At 35.8% G+C, this 20,352-nt stretch overlaps 1 long non-coding RNA gene across 1 annotated transcript in view; it reads right to left on the minus strand.

The window, feature by feature from the left end:
* The window catches only part of LOC105376755 (uncharacterized), a 673,333-nt gene that overhangs the window by 110,289 nt on the left and 542,692 nt on the right, over window positions 1-20,352 (minus strand). The gene's annotated exons all lie outside the window — the stretch shown is intronic.

Genomic DNA, 20,352 nt, shown 5'->3' on the forward strand with positions numbered 1-20,352 from the left:
AAGTTGCTTATCAGCTTAAGGAGATTTTGGGCTGAGACAATGGGGTTTTCTAGATATACAATCATGTCATCTGCAAACAGGGACAATTTGACTTCCTCTTTTCCTAATTGAATACCCTTTATTTACTTCTCCTGCCTAATTGCCCTGGCCAGAACTTCCAACACTATGTTGAATAGGAGTGGTGAGAGAGGGCATCCTTGTCTTGTGCCAGTTTTCAAAGGGAATGCTTCTAGTTTTTGCCCGTTCAGTATGATATTGGCTGTGGCTGTGGGTTTGTCATAGATAGCTCTTATTATTTTGAGATATGTCCCATCTATACCTAATTTATTGAGAGTTTTTAGCATGAAGAGTTGTTGAATTTTGTCAAAGGCCTTTTCTCCATCTATTGAGATAATCATGTGGTTTTTGTCTTTGGTTCTGTTTATATGCTGGATTACATTTGTTGGTTTGCATATATTGAACCAGCCTTGCATCCCAGGGATGAAGCCCACTTGATAATGGTGGATAAGCTTTTAGATGTGCTGCTGGATTCGGTTTGCCAGTATTTTTTTTGAGGATTTTTCCGTCAATGTTCATCAAGGATATAGATTAGTTTTAGCTAATTTTGAAGCTTAAAAGTATCTAAGAAGCTCATACTAATAAGAGTTCAATTGGTCACCCGTGATGATGCATTTTACTAAAGTTAAAGATACTTGAAGGATCAGGACATGACAATAATTTTCTACCATGGCTTCAAGTTGTATTATACAATTGTCCCCTTCTCACCATATTCACACTACATATACTAATTTTCCAGATTCTGCGTTAAGCATTAGAAATAAATCATTTTCTTTTATCATGTTAAGTGAAGTAAACCAGGCAGAGAAAGACAAACACCACATGATCTCATTCATATGTGGAAGCTAAAAAGGTCAGTCTCATAGAAGGAGAGAGTAGAGTAGTGGTAACTGGAGGCAAGGAAAGGGAAAGGGTGGGAGGGATAGCCAGAGGTTGATTAACAGATACAAAAGTACAGAAAGATAGAAGGGATAAGTCCTAGTGTTCTATAAGACTACAAGATGACTATAGTTAACAATAACTTATTATATATTTTCAAATCTCAAGAAGAGTAGATTTTTCCAACACAAAGTTATTATCAAAGTTAGAGGCAATGAATATGCAGATTATCCTGATTTGATCTTTATACATTGCATACATGTATCAAAATACTATACTGTACCCCATAAGTATGTATAATTTATTATGTCAGTTAAAAGTCATAATAGTAAAAAATATTTCCTTTAATATATATAATTAATTATATGAATTATATATTATTACTATCACCATTTTAGAGTTGAAGAAACAGAGTTGCAGAGATAAAATCTATTATTCAAGGTTTCACAGTAGCAAATAGCCAGGCAGTGAGACTCCAAAGCCCGCACTGGTAACCCCTCTAGATAGACAGTCTTAATACACACTCCTAATATGCAATATGATTATATAAGATGTATAATTAAAATGAATCCATACTGAGCAAATTTTGGTGGACAAAATATGTATGAAGCAATGATAATTACAGAGCAGATAATTGATAAATACCTCATAAATAAAGATGTGAGTCATCCCTAGAAAATGACAAAATGAAAAGGAAGACTTAGCATCACATTTAATATAGCACTTAGCATGATGGAAAAAGATTTTTTCCGGGGGGTTTTGTTTTGCTTTTTGTTTGTTGAGTTGGGTTTTGGTATCTTTCTCCCTCAGAAAATACTTTATAGCTTACTTTGTGTAAACAGACCATAAAATGTGTTAAATGTTACAGTCTTACAGGCAGGGATCTCAGCTCAGCTTGTATGTAACAACAATATTTTTGTCATGATATGTTGTGAAGAAAAGAATACACTTTCTCACTTAGATAATATAACTTTTACAGTTTCTTATTCAAAATAATATCATGTAACACAAATCAAGTTTATTCTTGTGTTGACATCTAAACCATTAAAGATTGTCCATGACTACAGCTTTTACAACAGTAGTTATTGCTATTTCCTAAGTCAGATGGGTCTTTTTTTTTTCATTATCTTTGATCTTTGTCACTTGTTTGCTATCAAATATTCTTTTTAAAAGAGGTTACTAATGGCATTTGTAAGAAGCAGGCAAGCATCCAATCAGGGTACTTATAATATCATACAGTTTACAGTGACATATTCACTAATATAACAGGCGTAAAGGCCATCTCATTTCATTTCACTTTTATATTTGTCAATACAATTATTCCATCATAATTTGTCATTACTTAACTTTGTCAGTCCTCATTGACATGACTTCACAAGTTGTGAATTCCAACCTATATTTTATGTCGAGCCCATAATTAGAAAACAAAAAATCAGATAGACTTTAACTCATTTTATTCATTTCATATGAAATCATTGGTTTTTAACATCATGGCCATGCTATTTTGCTATCATTGGCCTTATATCATATGGGTAATTTCAAAATGCATCTCTCTGCTGCACCTAATCTGATCCTACTGCATGTCAAGTCACACTCCTTACCCATACTCCCCTGTTTTATAAGATGTAGTGTCTGATTTAAGCATTTGATTTTATCTTGTATTTTATTCACTGTGGTAAAATAATGTATTGGTGTAACAATTTGAAAAATCTTGTATTTGTTCCTGTCCAGGAAGGTAGCCAAGGGCTTTGTATTATCTTCTCTCAGAGAATCCAGCAGGGAGAATAGAAACAACTGAAGTTATCAGTTCTTCCTGTCTTTGGTACTGGCCAATCTTTAGAAGAGTTGTCACAGATGTTGGAGGGGAGAAGCAATTGAGAAAAAAAAAATTAAAAGAGACTGAGAAGGAGAGAAAACAATACTGTAGATCTTTCTAATAGAGACCCTGGGTATTAGCAGACAGCACCCTGAGTAATAGAAGACTTTAGAGAGGAATAGGCACCTTATGCTCCAAGATAGAAGATATTCTTTATTTGTTTTATATCTATGGTTTTCAGGTTGGAAATGGAAATCTGTAACTTATAAAAGAAATGCTCAAAATTCGTAAAATTAAAAAAGATGGAATACTATTTTACTTCTAGTCTAAAAGTCAAAAAAACTGTAAATACCATCTAGCACATAATGTTTAATGAGCTCAGTGTTATTCTGTTATTCAAATATATATCTCACTCAGCATTGGTGAGAAAAATTTACGAAAATTGAATTTCTAAGTCAAATATTGAATGTTAACATTAAAGATTGGCTGAAATAATATTAGAAGGCTTGGTAGCTTCACAGATGGACATGAAAGCATTTGGGAGAAATTACACTTTGGCTTTCCAATATTAGCATCCTTACCATAGAAATATGTTTTAGATTTTTTCATAGAACAATTTCTTCATAACAAAAATAATATGTTTCATCTATTTGTGTACAGATTGTGTTGATGTATCTGTGATATAGACATATAAAACTATATATTATAGTAGTGCTCCTGAAAAGTTATACATAAATAGAATTTATAATTCTTCTAGTAGCATCATTGTAATTTCAATGAAACTTTAAGTATAAAGGAATTACTTTGTGGTGTCAGTAACCCCATCCTAATTAAAGTATTTTAAACTTTAAAATAATTATTGAGTTTCATTAAATTAGGCCACTCTTGAATTATAATAAATCAGTAGTCATAATAATAAATAAATTAGCAGTTTATTACAAGACAGAGAAGGAAATAAATGTATATTGTGCAGTCTGTGGTATAAACTTGGATAAGAAAATGAAATCATAGAATTGGAGTTGCCAAAAAATGACTTTTTTAGGACTCTGGTCCAGAAGAGATGGAATACATTTATTTCTCCCAATTCCTCAGGCTAAGTTGTACTTACATTATAAGCTGGAAATAATGTAAGAGGCAACTAAAGGAGAAATCGGATCACAAGATCAGGAGTTTGAGACCAGCCTGACCAACATAGTGAGACCCCGTCTCTATTAAAAATACAAAAATTAGCTGGGCATGGTAGCACATGCCTGTAGTTCCAGCTACTTGGGAGGCTGAGGCAGGAGAATCACTTGAACCAGGAGGTGGAGGTTGCAGTGAGCCGAGATTGCACCACTGCACTCTAGCCTGGGCAGCAGAGTGAGACTCTGTCTCAAAAAAAAAAAAAAAAAAAAAGTGAAATAAGAAAGGAGAACTAGTTTGGGAACCCAGTACAGTGGAAACAAGCAAGCACACGTTGACTTACACCTGTATCCCATTCTCTCCAACCAAATCAGCTACCAACATAAAGAAAGTGATGCAGACTCAGCATTTCCTGACTCCAATCTAGCCACAGAAGGCGCCTCCCTAGGCTTTTTCCTTCCCCACATCAAACAAGAACCCTCCTGAAAGCACCATGTGAGCTTACTACTACTAGAAATGAGACATCACTCCAGAACTCTGCTAATGATTAGAGTCTAGAACAAGAATTATCTTACCTAAGACTTTCCTCCCCCACCAAGAGATATCAGAGTGGCTGAACAGCAAGGACAATGAATGAAAGACCATGTCACAAGGAAGTCTCCTTAGCCAAGTAGGCCTACAGCTCCAGTCCTTCATTGAGACACACTAGGGCTGCTGGGCGTGGGAAAACATCTTTTTTCTCCTTAGGCAGCACCAGCAGGAGTGAGTGAATCCCTGGTTGCACCAGATAAACCAAGTAGACCAATATAACAAAGCAAAGGCTTGAAAATTAAATTCTCATTGGAACCACAGCCCGCAAATGTAAACCAGGACTTGCATGCAAAACCTAAATAGGGGATTGCCTGTCAAAAGATTAAAAGGGAACCCAGGGTCTTCTAACACAAAATATAAAATATCCAGGATACAGATTATTTTTCAAAATATATAATGGATTTTTACTTATTATAGTCACCTTTCTCTTCAATAAATTACTAAACTATATTACTCCAACTAAAACTTTGTACACTTTGATTAACACTTCCTTTTTCCCTATCCCTCCCTCACTTTAGCCTCTGGTAACCATCATTCTACTCTCTACTTCTATGAGGTCAATATTTTTAATTTCCACATATAAATGATATCATGTGGTGTTTGTCTTTCTGTGCCTAGCTTATCTCACTTAGCATAACATCCTCTAGGTTCATCATATTGATGCAAATGACAAGATTTCTCCCCTTTTTAAGGTTGAATAGTGTTCTATCATATATATACATATGATATATATATATATAAAATGTACTTATCATAAAAGAATCAGGAAAATAACAACTTAGATGGGAAAATAGAATCAACTGACGACAACACTGAGATGAATCAGCTATTTTAATTATCCAATAAGGGTTTTAAGACAGCTTGCATAAAAATGCTTCAATATCAATTACAAGTTCTCTTTCAACAAATGAGACAATGAAAAATCTCAGCAAAGAAATACACATTATTAAAAAAGAACCAGATTTTAGTTATATGACCATAAAGACAATAACAAAATAAAAATAAATCTAGCTGATGGTTTTAGTAACAGCGGTTCTATAAAAGATATTAGAAACAATAAACTTGAGGACAGATCAGTAGAATTAATCTAAATAATGAAAGAAAACTGACTGTAAAAGAAATGAATAGAGCCTCAGAAACCCCTAAGAAACAATGAAAGGCCCAACGTTTATATCAGTGGAGTTTCAAGGTGCAGACTAAGAAGTGGTGATGAAGGGGTATTGTAAAGATAATGGCTAAAAGACTTTCCAAATGTAGTGAAAGATATAAACCTACAGATTCAAGAACCTCAATAAATTTTAAACATGAAGAAACCAAAGACATCCAAGCAAAGACACTTCTAAAATTGAAATTCAGAAAGCTGAAGACAAAGTCCTGAGAGCAGCAAGAGAGAAACTGATGGGGATAGGATGCACAGGAATTCTAGGCAGTAAAAGGTGGGTCCCTTGCCAGGGACCCATCCTCAAGCTCAAAGCCTGAGACCACAGCCTAAAGTGAGAACACATACCCCTGTTTTCCTGCTTGAATATTGCCTTTTCCAAAATCACCCATGGCTTGCCTTGCCCCCCATCTTGTGCTTATAAAGACCCCAGGCTCAGTTGGCAGAGAGAGGAGGAGCAGCTGGACGTCGGAGACTATGGCTGGATTTCAGAGAGAAGCGACTTGACTTCAGAGGTACAGCTTGATGGTATAACTTCAAAGAATCTGGCTGGAGATGGCCGGATTTCAGGGGAAGATTACCTTCCTGCCCCATCTCCTTTTCAGCTCCCCTTCCCGCTGACAGCCAATTTTATTGGCAATAAAATCCCCCGCATTTACCATCCTTCAATTTATTCATGGGACTTCATGTCTCTTGGATGCTGGACAGGAGCTCGCGTGTCACTTGAGTGCAGATACGAAAGGCTATCACACTTGCCCTTTTCACTCACAGGCGTAAGGCAGCTGCCTCACATGAAAAGGCAAAGGGCTCACTGAGCTGTTAACACTTAAGCCATCTGTGGATGGCAGAGCTGAAAAAGCACTATAACACTCCCTCCGGGGCTTCAGGGGTTGTGGGCACACCCCCGCATGCTGCTGTGGGGCCTGCAAGAATTTCACTCCTGCCAGGGCCCAAAAGCGCTCACCCTGGCTCCTGCACCTGCTCAACTGTGCGCACCCTCTCCTAAGGGGTGGAGCACAGCGGGTCAGAGTGAATGGAGTTCACTCCTGCCAGCACCAAAGCAACTGGCTGGTTCCAGAGTTCATGCACTCCAGTTCAGTTCGTGCCTTGTTCACTAGCACACTCTCTCCTGCAAAAAAATTGAAAGCTGCGGGCTGGGTAAATGAGGCACCCCTATTGCGAGTCCTGCAAAGGGATCAGGGAAATATACTGCTTCAAATGACACCTTACCTATGGGAAATGCCAATTTGAATGGCAGCTGATTTCTTATCTGAAGGCACAGAGGCAAAAGGAAAATGACAAAACATTTTTGAAATGCTGAAAGAAAAGTACAGTGAACTGCAAATTCCATATTCAGCAAAATAAATCTTTAGCTGTTAAGGAGAAAGGAAGACATTCTCAGATGATGGAAAACTTAAAAAAAAATTGTTGCTGGCAAACCTACCCTTAAGAATGACTAAAGAAATCTGTCAAAAGCAAAGAATTTTTTTTAAGGAAAAAAACTCACTTCAAATTCAATGACTTAGACAAGTAGAAAGTTAAAAGCTTTCTACTTGAAAATATATAGTGCACAAATATTAAAGTAACATAGGAGTGACTATATTAACATCTGGTGGTAAAGTAGATTTCAGAACAAAAATAAATTGCTAGAGACAAAGAATTACATTATATATTGATATAAGAATCAATCCAACAGGAATTTATAATAATCCCAAATGTGTCCATACCTAACAATGGAGCCTCAAAATATATGAAGTAAAAACTGACAGAGCTGAAAGAGAAGTGGAAAACCCAAAATGGTGGAGAAATTCAATCCCTTACTTCCCTCAGTAACTAACAGAACTAACAGACAGAAAATAAGCAAAGATATAGATCTGAACACACCAACAACAGGATCTAATTGACATATATAGAACATTGGTCCAACAAAGTGGAATATTTTTTTAAGTGCCCATGAAATATTCACCAAAAACGACAGGAGCCTGGATCATAAAACCAACTTCAACAATCTAAAGAATAAAACCACAAAGAGTGTGTTCTCTGACCAAAGTAGAATCCAATGAGAAATCATGAACTGAAAGTCAATAAGAAAATCTCTAAATATATAGAATTTATTTATTTATTTACTTATTTATTTATTTTATTTTATTTATTTCTTTTTTTGAGACAGAGTTTCTGTCTGTCGCCCAGGCTGGAGTGCAGTGGCATGATCTCGGCTCACTGCAACCTCCACCTCCTGGGTTTGAGCAATTTTCCCGCCTCAGCATCCTGAGTAGCTAGGATTACAGGCACGGGCCACCATGCTCAGTTAATTTTTGTATTTTTAGTAGAGACAGGGTTGCACTATGTTGGCCAGGCTGATCTCGAACTCCTGACCTCACGTGATCCTCCCATCTCAGCTTCCCAAAGTGCTGGGATTACAGGCATGAGCCATCGCGCCAGGCTAAATAATTTAAACTACATGCTTATAAATAATCCATGTGTAAAAGAAATTTTTATCAAAAGAAAATGAAGATAAACATAGAACTGAATGAAAATAAAAACACGACTTATCCAAATTTGTGGGATGCACTTAAAGCAGAGCTGAGAAAGCAAGTTATAGCACTATCTGTTTACGTTAAAACAAGGAAACCTCTCAATACAGCAAGTTCCTACTCCAAGAAACTAAAAATAGGAGAGCAAGATAAAATAGAAAGGCAAAATTAAGCAATAAGAAAAAAATAATAACAACAAAAGCAAAAATCAATGAGCCAATTAAACTAAAAATAGAAAACAATAGATAAAAACAATGAAGCAAGATTGGCAGTTTGAAAAGATTCAGGAAATAGGCAAACCACTAGCAAGACTGACAAACAAAAAGGCTAAGAGACACACATCACTAATATCAGAAATTAAATAGGGGATATCACTACAGATGCCTCAAAAAACAGGAGGATAATAAATAATATGAATGACTTGATACCTATAATTTCAGAAACTTTGAAAAAATGGCCTAATTCTCCCAAACCACAAAATACCAAAATTCGTCCAAGTTTAGATAATCTGAATAGATCTGTAAGCATTAAAAATTGAATTTGTAATTTAAAAGCTCCAGAAAAATGAAGCACTATGGCCAAGATTTTACTAAAGAATTTTACTAAATATTTAAAGAACACCAATTTTACACAGTTTGGGCCATTACTTAAAAAATGTTAAATTAAGACAGAGATGGCAAGGAGAGAAGGAGAGAAAGAGGAAAACGTGAGTTTTATGACGAGTTTTATTTCATTATCAGAGAGCAGAGGTTTTTCTGAAGAAGCATAAAATACATATCTTACAGAGAAAATAATAAATTAATAGACTATATAATCTAATGAATGTCTCTTTTGACAAACCTTATTTTAAAACTAATTTTAAAAACAAATGGCAGGTAACATTCCATTCCTATCTTGATGTTGTAACTGGTATCAAATTTACCCTATTGGCATAGACAATGAAAAGAGCTGGAGAAAATTAGAAACTGCATTGCCGGTCTTGAATAGCAACCAAGGCAGGGCTATAATGTTGGAGAGAAGGTAATTACATAGGCAAGTTTCATATTTGCCTTAGATCTTCATGATAGCACTTTCCAAAATGGTGATGGCAATTAGAGCCTAAATGGAGAGCAGCAGCCCCACTGGGCAAATAAAACATAGATTGCATTTTTGAAGCATAAGGATTCTTATTTGTGCTTAGCATTCGATCCATGTGATATGTTGTTTAGGTTGAAGAACCAAAGGCTGGAGAAAACCAGCCTTAAACAGATATCTAGTTGGAAAAGAGAGTAGTAGTTAAATAGCACTTTTAGATATTTGTACATATTCTTCAATTACTCATAAACACTGAACAAATAGTAGTTATATAAAGGCTTGTTGCAAAGTAAAATCTGAACCTCCCATTATCTGTTGTTACACTGAAATCCATGGGACTATCTTATACTTTGACTGAAACGTTTACCCATGCATGGTCTTGTAATCATGCCTTCTTCATTCGGGGAAAAAAAAGTTTATTGCTATGCAGATATTCCAAATATTGACATATTTCATTATATGCTATCTAAAAGATCACATTCATTAAAAATCACCACCAATCTCATTGGAAAACTCTTTAAATATCAGGAAGCTGTCAATCTCATAGTGGTAAACACAGTTTTTAAAATTTTAATATTTTGCTTAAAGTTTTTATTTTTAACGTGGGCAGCTGTTTTTCTTCAACCGCTTTTTTTTTTTTTTGAAGCAAAAGGAATTTCTTTCAGTTTTGAGAAAATATCTGCCAAATAGTTATGGTTTGTTTCTCAGTCATTCTTTCAAGTAAGTGAATTTTTATGAAGAAAAGCAAATGTTAGTTTTCAACTCAAATAATAGGACAAATGCTTTTTCTTGAGATAATCAGTACACTTTAGTATGCAGCAGAAGTGTTTTATGCATACTTCACATTGTTTCACACAGACTAAGATGTGTAATCAAGATCAAAATTCAATAAACTTAAATCATTTTCACTGCTTCATCAAGGTATTCTAAAGTGAAATTGCCATTTTTTCCCTCATGTGCATAGCAACAAATAAATAATGACTAATGACTACTATATTGTCTAATTTCACTGCCTTGATTCGTACTATGTCCCCATCAATTTTACCCACAATTGCTATTGTATAATCAGTATAAATACCCACACAGTGAAAAGACAAATAACTTTATAGTATTTTTCACCACTTTCAGAATCACTAGAATCCAGAGATACACATATGCATAAGCACTTGATGTGTGGTAAAAGCTCACTATAATTCACATGGTCTTTTCAATAAATGTGCTTGGTCAATAAATATCCATATGGAAAAACTAACAAACCAAAACAAAACACCTTAACCCCATTTTTACCATATACAAATATTAATTCAAAATGTTTTATAGACCTAAATATTAAACCTAAAGTAATTTTCTAATAGAAAATGTAAAAACTATCTTTGTAATCTTCATATAGGGAAAAATGCTTTGGACACAAAACTCAGTATCATAATAAAAAAGATTGATAAATTGTGCATTAAATTATTTTATCAAAGGGAAATATTGAGAGAAAAAAGTCATAAGATATTTGCAACATATAAGTGTGACAAATGAATTATAACAATATTTTATTTAAAAAACTAAAAATTAAAATTCGATACAAAAATGACTCAAAATGTTTGAGTTGATACATGCCAAAAGACAATGCCAATACAAAGGTTTCAATAGCATTAGTTATCAGAGAAATACAAATTAAGACCAAAGCGAGACACCAGTACACATCCACCCAAATGGTTACAATATCCACTCACTCAGAGACTGACAAGATTAAATATTGGTGAGGATGTGGGTCAAGTAGAATGCTGTTAGATTGTTGACAGAATTGTAAGTTGATGGACAACTTTGAAAAACTGATAGGCATTACCTAGAGTTTAAAAATGTATATCCTATGGAACAACAATTTCATTCTTGGATTTGTACTTAAGAGAATTGAGTGCTTATGTCCATCAAAAAGCATGTGCAAGAATGTTTAAAGCAGTTCTTGCAATAATACAAAACTGGGCACAACACCGATAACCATCAAGAGTAGAATAGGCAAGCAAATTTTACTATATTCGTGATGGAATAGTACATAAAATGTAAAAAAAGATTAGATTGAAACACTGAACATGAAAAAAAATCTCACAACCACATTTGGGTGAAAGAATTCAGACAGAGAAGAGCATATACTTACTATTCCATTTATGTGAAATTCAAAATAAGCCAAAAGTCTATGGCTATGGAAGTCATAGAGTAGTTACCTTTGGGTAATTACTGACTTGTGATGGCAGTGGGAGGGAAAACAAGATGAAACATTTTGGAGTGTTAGAAATATTATATATGGCAACCTGGATAGTGGTTATATAGATGTATACAAGTGTTAAAATTTACCAAACCCTGCACTTAAGTTTGTGTGTGTGTGTGTGTTTGCGTGTGTATACTTTACTGTGTACTTTATTGCACACTTTCCCCCTCAAGAAAACAATAAAAAGAGAGGAAGCATAAATGCCTAAGTAACTCAACATCAGAACATACCATAAAAAAAGAGGAAAATGATTGCAACATGTATGAAAAGAAAATGGTTCAGAATCTTAATTCACAAAGAGCATGTAAAACTATAAGAAAAAGCAAGTAATGTAAAATAAACCGTTGTCACTGAATATGAATAAATTAACGTTAAGAAACCCAAATGAGCAAACAAAATCTAAAATATGCAGATTTATTCCTAATAGACTCATCTTTTTTTAAAAATTGAGTTATTTATTTTTTATTATATTATTATTGTTATTTTTGAGGCAGGGTCTTGCTGTGCCACTTAGGTTGGAGTGCAGTGGCATGATCTCGGCTCACTACAATCCCCACCTTCTGGGTTCAAAGCATTCTCATGCCTCGGCCTCTCGAGTAGCTGGGGTCACAGGTGTGGGCCATCCAGCTAATTTTTGTATTTTTAGTAGACACGCGGTTTCACCATGTTGGTCAGGCTGGTCTCAAACTTCTGGCCTCAAGAGATCCACTGGCCTTGGCCTCCCAAAGTGCTGCGATAACAGGCATGAGCCACCACACCCGACCAAAAAATTAAGATTAAAAAATTGCATAATAGTCAGCTCCTATAAGAATGTCTAGAAATAGACAATCTGATTTAATGTTTATGATAGTCAAATTTGGTGCTTTCATTTTGGAGAAGATGGATCTTTATCTTTCAGCTTTGTACTTTTATACTTGGTGCTATTTGGCTGGTTGGTTGCTTTTGGCTAGCAATTATCTTACGTTTCCAAAAATAAATATAGAAATATATGGCAACTTTGTTTGCCTAAGCAAACAATTGGAAACTGATTAAATGCCAATCAATAGAGGCTTCATCAAGTAAATAAACTATGAATGTCTAGGTATTCATTTAAAAATAATGAGCTAGATCTGTGTGTATTGACACGAACTATTCTCAGAGATGCAAAGCGATTGAAGCAGGTTGCAAAATACTGTATATAGTATGATCTCAGTTTTTGTAAGAGTGCGTAAACAAAACAGCTAATAGAACTTATTTTTGGACAGAAGAACATGGTCAGAGATAAGGAAGAGTCTCATTTTTCATTTTATATTTGGCAGTTTGAATTTTTTTTTTTTAATTCAGTGATGGGGTTTCACTCTTGCTGCCCAGGCTAGAGTGCAATGGCATGATGTTGACTCACCGCAACCTCCACCTCCCGGGTTCAAGCAATTCTCCTGCCTCAGCCTCCCTTGTAGCTGGGATTACCGGCGTGCACCACCACGCCCGTCTAATCTTTTTTGTATTTTTTTTTTTAGTAGAGACAGGGTTTCTCCATTTTGATCAGGCTGATCTCAAACTCCTGACCTCAGGTGATCCGCCCACCTCGGCCTCCCAAACTGCTGGGATTACAGGCGTGAGCCACCGTGCCTGGCCTGGCAGTTTGAATTTTCTAATAAAATATGTTACTTTTATTTGAAGAAATAGTGTGTATGAAATACAAGCCTTTTTTCTGGTTTATGTTTTTCTCTACTGATAATTTTAAATCATCATTTCTAAAATTCTGAACAAAACTGAAGTGATCCAAAGATTTCATTAAGGAAATCTGGGTGTAAAGTGAATTACCACAAGAGAACTTTGTCTTAACCTTAGAATACATAGTAAGATAGTGAAAGTTGGTTTTCTGTAAGGACTTATCATGTTCAATACTATTAAAAGATCACTTCATCATAAGTTACCATATCTGAGTCAGTTCTTAGTTCTTTCTACTCACTACTTGAGCTGAAATAGATTAAAATAATTAACTTCAGTTCAAAGACTAGTGCGAATAATGATTTGATCAATTCAAGCAGGAAGAGCTTTAACAGAAGAAATTAGATGCTCATGAAATCATTGGAGAGCTCCAGAAAGATGTTATATCTCTTAAATTTATGAACATTTCTGCTGTACCTGACATATGGAGGTCAGAAAGCTATTACTACAGTCATCATGTCTCCCTTAAAAGGGCCTCTTCCCTTCAAAAAGCTGCTGGTTCTCTAGGATGGTAAGTACAGCCAATCCCACTGCTGCTGAACACCTAAGGTTCTATAATCTTGTCCGGCCGAGGACAAGAAGCATGGTCTCCAGACCATTTCTATCTTCCCAGTATTAAGTGTGTGTAATCTAAGGAACCCTAATTGCATCAAGACTCCTAGCCTCAGGAGAGTTGTTAAACACATCAACCTTCCCCATATTTGAGAGTCATTATCCTTGTGCCTTTTCATGTGGAGTTTTTTCCCTTGGGCTTTCTCATGGCTTAGTCCTCATCATTTAGGTATCTGCTCATATATCGTCTCCTTAAACACTTCTCATTTGACATTATACAAAATATTAAGCCTCTTTGACTACCTTTTTTATTCTCTTAAACATTTTGTCTTCTCTATAAATTTTTTTTAATTTTTTTATTATTATACTTTAAGTTCTAGGGTACATGTACACAATGTGCAGGTTTGTTACATATGTATACATGTGCCATGTTGGTGAGCTGCACCCATTCACTCATCATTTACATTAGGTATATCTCCTAATGCCATGCCTCCCCCCTCCCCCCACTCCATGACAGACCCCGGTGTGTGATGTTCCCTTTCCTGTGTCCAAGTGTTCTCATTGTTCAATTCCCACCTATGAGTGAGAACATGTGGTGTTTGGTTTTCTGTCCTTGCGACAGTTTGCTCAGAATGATGGTTTCCAGCTTCATCCATGTCCCTACAAAGGACATAAACTCATCCTTTTTTATGGCTGCATAGTATTCTATGGTGTATATGTGCCACGTTTTCTTAATCCAGTCTCTCATTGATGGACATTTGGGTTGGTTCCGAGTCTTTGCTATTGTGAATAGTGTCGCAATAAACATACATGTGCATGTGTCTTTACAGCAGCATGACTTATAATCCTTTGGACATATACCCAGTAATGGGATGGCTGGTCAAATGGTATTTCTAGTTCTAGATCCTTGAGGAATTGCCACACTGTCTTCCACAATGGTTGAACTAGTTCACAGTCCCACCAACAGTGTAAAAGTGCTCCTATTTCTCCACATCCCCTCCAGCACCTGTTGTTTCCTGACTTTTTAATGATTGCCATTCTAACTGGTGTGAGATAGTATCTCATTGTGGTTTTGATTTGCATTTATCTAATGAACAGTGATGATGAGCATTTTTTCATGTGTCTGTTGGCTGCATACATGTCTTCTTTTGAGAAGTGTCTGTTCATATCCTTTGCCCACTTTTTGATGGGGTTGTTGGATTTTTTTTTTTGTAAATCTGTTTAAGTCCTTTGTAGATTCTGAATATTAGCCCTTTGTCAGATGGGTAGATTATAAAAAATTTCTCCCATTCTGTAGGTTGCCTGTTCATTCTGATGGTAGTTTCTTTTGCTGTGCAGAAGCTCTTTAGTTTAATTGGATCCCATTTGTCAATTTTGGCTTTTGTTGCCATTGCTTTTGGTGTTTTAGTCATGAAGTCCTTGCCTATGCCTACGTCCTGAATGGTATTGCCTAGGTTTTCTTCTAGGGATTTTATGGTTTTAGGTCTAACCTTTAAGTCTTTAATCCATCTTGAATTAATTTTTGTATAAGGTGTAAGGAAGGGATCCAGTTTCAGCTTTCTACATATGGCTAGCCAGTTTTCCCAGCACCATTTATTAAATAGGGAATCCTTTCCCCATTTCTTGTGTTTGTCAGGTTTGTCAAAGATCAGATGGCTGTAGATGTGTGGTATTATTTCTGAGGGCTCTGTTCTGTTCCATTGGTCTATATCTCTGTTTTGGAGCCAGTACCATGCTGTTTTGGTTACTGTAGCCTTGTAGTATAGTTTGAAGTCAGGTAGCGTGATGCCTCCAGCTTTGTTCTTTTGGCTTAGGATTGTCTTGGCAATGCGGGCTCTTTTTTGGTTCCATATGAACTTTAATTTTTTTCCAATTCTGTGAAGAAAGTCATTGGTAGCTTGACGGGGACGGCATTGATTCTATAAATTACCTTGGGCAGTATGGCCATTTTCACGATATTGATTCTTCCTATCCATGAGCTTGGAATGTTCTTCCATTTGTTTTTGTCCTCTTTTAATTCATTGAGCAGTGGTTTGTAGGTCTCCTTGAAGAGGTCCTTCACATCCCTTGACAGTTGGATTCCTAGGTATTTTATTCTCTTTGAAGCAATTTGATGGGAGTTCACTCATGATTTGGCTCTCTGTTGTTGGTATATAGGAATGCTTATGATTTTTGCACATTGATTTTGTATCCTGAGAATTTGCTGAAGTTGCTTATCAGCTTAAGGAGACTTGGGCCTGAGACGATGGGGTTTTCTAAATATACAATCATGTCATCTGCAAACAGGGACAATTTGACTTCCTCTTTTCCTAACTGAATAACCTTTATTTCTTTCTCCTGCCTAATTGCCCTGGCCAGAACTTCCAACACTATGTTGAATAGGAGTGGTGAGAGAGGGCATCCCTGTCTTGTGCCAGTTTTCAAAGGGAATGCTTCCAGTTTTTGCCTATTCAGTATGATATTGGCTGTGGGTTTGTCATAAATAGCTCTTATTATTTTGAGATATGTCCCAACAATATCTAGTTTATTGAGAGTTTTAGCAATTCAACAGGGCTGTTGAATTTTATCAAAGGCCTTTTCTGCATCTACTGAGATAATCATGTCTTTGGTTCTGTTTATATAATGGATTACTTTTATTGATTTGCATATTTGAACTAGCCTTGCATCCCAGGGATGAAGCCAACTTGATCATGGTGGATAAGCTTTTTGATGTGCTGCTGGATTCAGTTTGCCAGTATTTTACTGAGGATTTTCATGTCAGTGTTCATCAGGGATATTGGCCTGAAATTTTCTTTTTTTTGTTGTGTCTCTGCCAGGCTTTGGTTTCAGGATGATGCTGACCTCATAAAATGAGTTAGGGAGCATTCCTTCTTTTTCCATTGATTGCAATAGTTTCAGAAGGAATGGTACCAGCTCCTCTTTGCACCTCTAGTAGAATTCGGCTGTGAATCCATCTTGTCCTGGACTTTTTTTGGTTGGTAGGCTATTAATTATTGCCTCAATTTCAAAGCTTGTTATTGGTCTATTCAGGGATTCAACTTCTTCCTGGTTTAGTCTTGGGAGACTGCATGTGTCCAGGAATTTACCCATTTCTTCTAGATTTTCTAGTTTATTTGCATAGAGGTGTTTATAGTATTCTCTGACAGTAGTTTGTATTTCTGTGGCATCGGTGATGATATCCCCTTTATCATTTTTTATTGCATCTATTTGATTCTTCTCTCTTTTCTTATTAGTCTTTCTAGCAGTCTATCAATTTTATTGATCTTTTCAAAAAACCAGCTCTTGGATTCATTGATTTTTTGAAGGGCATTTTTTTTTTGTCTCTATCTCCTTCAGTTCTGCTCTGATCTTAGTTAATTCTTGCCTTCTGCTTGCTTTTGAATGTGTTTGCTCTTGCTTCTCTAGTTCTTTTAATTGTGATGTTAGGGTGTCAATTTGAGATCTTTCTTGCTTTCTCTTGTGGGCATTTAGTGCTATAAATTTCATTTCCCTCTACATACTGCTTTAAATGTGTCCTAGAGATTCTGTTATATTGTGTCTTTGTTCTCACTGATTTCAAAGAACATCTTTATTTCTGCCTTCATTTCGTTATGTACCCAGTAGTCATTCAGGAGCAGGTTGTTCAGTTGCCATGTAGTTGAGCAGTTTTGAGTGAGTTTCTTAATCCTGAGTTCTAGTTTGATTGCACTGTGGTCTGAGAGACAGTTTGTTATAATTTCTGTTTTACATTTGCTGAGGAGTGCTTTCCTTCCAACTGTGTGGTCAATTTTGGAATAAGTGTGATGTGGTGCTGAGAAGAATGTATATTCTGTTTATTTGGGGTGGAGAATTCTGTAGATGTCTATTAGGTCTGCTTGGTGCAGAGCTGAGTTCAATTCCTGGATATCCTTGTTAACTTTCTGTTTCATTGATTTGTCTGATGTTGACAGTGGGGTGTTAAAGTCTCCCATTATTATAGTGTGGGAATCTAAGTCTCTTTGTAGGTCTCTAAGGACTTGCTTTATGAATCTGGATGCTCCTGTATTGGGTGCATATATATTTAGGATAGTTAGCTCTTCTTGTTGAATTGATCCCTTTACCATTATGTAGTAGCCTTCTTTGTCTCTTTTGATCTTTGTTGGTTTAAAGTCTGTTTTATCAGACTAGGATTGCAACCCCTGCTTTTTTTTTTGTTTTTCATTTGCTTGGTAGAACTTCCTCCATCCCTTTATTTTGAGCCTATGTGTGTCTCTGCACGTGAGATGGGCTTCCTGAATACAGTACACTGATGAGTCTTGACTCTTTATCCATTTGCCAGTCTGTGTCTTTTAATTGGAGCATTTAGCCCATTTACCTTTAAGGTTAATATTGTTATGTGTGAATTTGATCCTGTCATTATGATGTTAGCTGGTTATTTTGCTCATTAGTTGATGCAGTTTCTTCCTAGCATTGATGGTCTTCACAATTTGGCATGTTTTTGCAGTGGTGGTGACAAAATCTCTCAGCATTTGCTTGTCTGTCACACGATTTTTAAAAATGGTTCCTGTCCAAGATGGCCAAATAGGAACAGCTCCAGTCTACAGCTCCCAGCAGGAGTGATGCAGAAGACGGGTGATATCTGCATTTCCAACTGATGTATCGAGTTCATCTCACTGGGGCTTGTCAGACAGTGGATGGAGCCCATGGAGCATGAGCCGAAGCAGGGTGAGGCATCGCCTCACCAGGGAAGCGCAAGGGGTCGGGGAATTCTCTTTCCTAGACAAGGGAAACTGTGATAGATGCTACCTGGAAAATTGGGACACTCCCACCCTAATACTGTGACTGCGCTTTTCCAATGGTCTTAGCAAATGGCACATCAGGAGATTATATCCTGGGCCTGGCTCGGAGGGTCCCACCCCCACGGAGCCTCGTTCACTGCTAGCACAGCAGTCTGAGATTGAGCTGCAAGGTGGCAGCAAGGCTGGGGTGGGGGGCGTCTGCCATTACTTAGGCTTGAGTAGGTAAACAAAGCAGCCTGGAAGCTCAAACTGGGTGCAGCCCACTTCAGCTTAAGGAGGCCTGCCTGTCTTCTCCATAAAATTTATAATTTATTACTTATTTTTATTTAATGGCCATTTTTTTCTTTTTTCTTTCTCTAAGATTTATTCATGCTATAATCCATAACACAAGCATCAGGGCAAACATGCTTGGTTTAATCACAACTACTGAAATGTAGTACTTTCTTCTTTCTACAAGCTCTTGTCACTTTTGGAGGTCTAAAACGGCCTTGAATATTCTTTTTCAAAATATAGGAAAGTGCTATTTGTATTCTAAGAATTTAGCCAGAGTGTTAAGTAACTTTTAAAGGTACAATACGGTATTTTAAGGAAGAGTAAAGTTACAAGAATTTCTAATTCCATTTAAGATCAAAGCCTTAAAATGATGCATAGAGGTGATGAAAGTAGACAGAGTAAAGAGAGAGCAGATGTTCTAGGAAAATAAGTGGAAAGAATAGGTAATAGGTGTTTGAAGTCAGTAGTACAGCTTCAGATTTTTTTAAAGTATCTATTAATATGTAAAAATAAGATAACATTACCCTGTTTGGAATACTTTTATTATGCCCAATCTGTTTTCCTTTTAAAAAGACTTTATAATAATGATTGCACTGGGTCTTCTAGAGATGATTTTCCTTATACTCAGTTCTTTATTCATTTATGTATCCTACAAATATTTACTGAATACGTACTGTGTACCAGGTAATAACATTTTCACATTTCTAGAGCCCATTCTGCTGGCCAGTTAACGAATAACAAAGAATTAGAAAAGCCAAGCCACTTGGAGTTTTTTACCCATATATACCATTACTTGCACACTGCCAGAAGGGATTTTGCAAAACCAAAAATGTTTTCGATTCAAACCAACATTTTCTAGTAAACAGGTTTATTTTATCAAGGTAGGTCATAACTGGTGAAGCAGAAATTTTACTAAACAGATTTCCTTTGGATAAATTTGCAAATTTCATACTCAACACAAGATTCTATCTTATAATTAATTTTAAGACATTTAACTTAAAATGCAAAATAATAAAATAAGCAGGAGATATTTTATTTTTGCTATAAAGTATCTGTAAAGGTTAAATTTTAAAGGACTGATTAAAGAGTAAAGATTCATGCATTATATTTAATGTTAAACTAGACTATTTAGTACAGATCCTATTAAAATATGCTCTGATTTTAATAAGCACACATATTTTTAAATATAAAATCAAAAGAAAATTAATCTATTGAAGCTGCAAATTATTTTTACATTATAAATCACTGTCTTTATTATTTCATCTTGTAAAGTTGAAAGAATTAGCTTTCTTCAAGACTACTCTTGATATGCATTTTTATTAGCTTCATGGGACCATATACTGTGTGACTATTTAAAAAGAAAAAAAGGACACTATGTAACAGAATGGTTTCAGAGAAGTGTATGACTCCTGACACATTCTAAATTGGTTGCAAATTATAGTATATTAAGATGCAACTCTCTTACATGACCTAATTCTCCCAAAGTTATAGCATTTCCTAATAACATAGAATTTAATCTGTTTTATAAGAGAAAGCGATGCCATTAGTAGAAGGATTATACTAGTTTTATT

The sequence above is a fragment of the Homo sapiens genome, chromosome 2 (assembly GCF_000001405.40).
Source record: "Homo sapiens chromosome 2, GRCh38.p14 Primary Assembly".
Classification (NCBI taxonomy): Eukaryota; Metazoa; Chordata; class Mammalia; order Primates; family Hominidae; genus Homo; species Homo sapiens.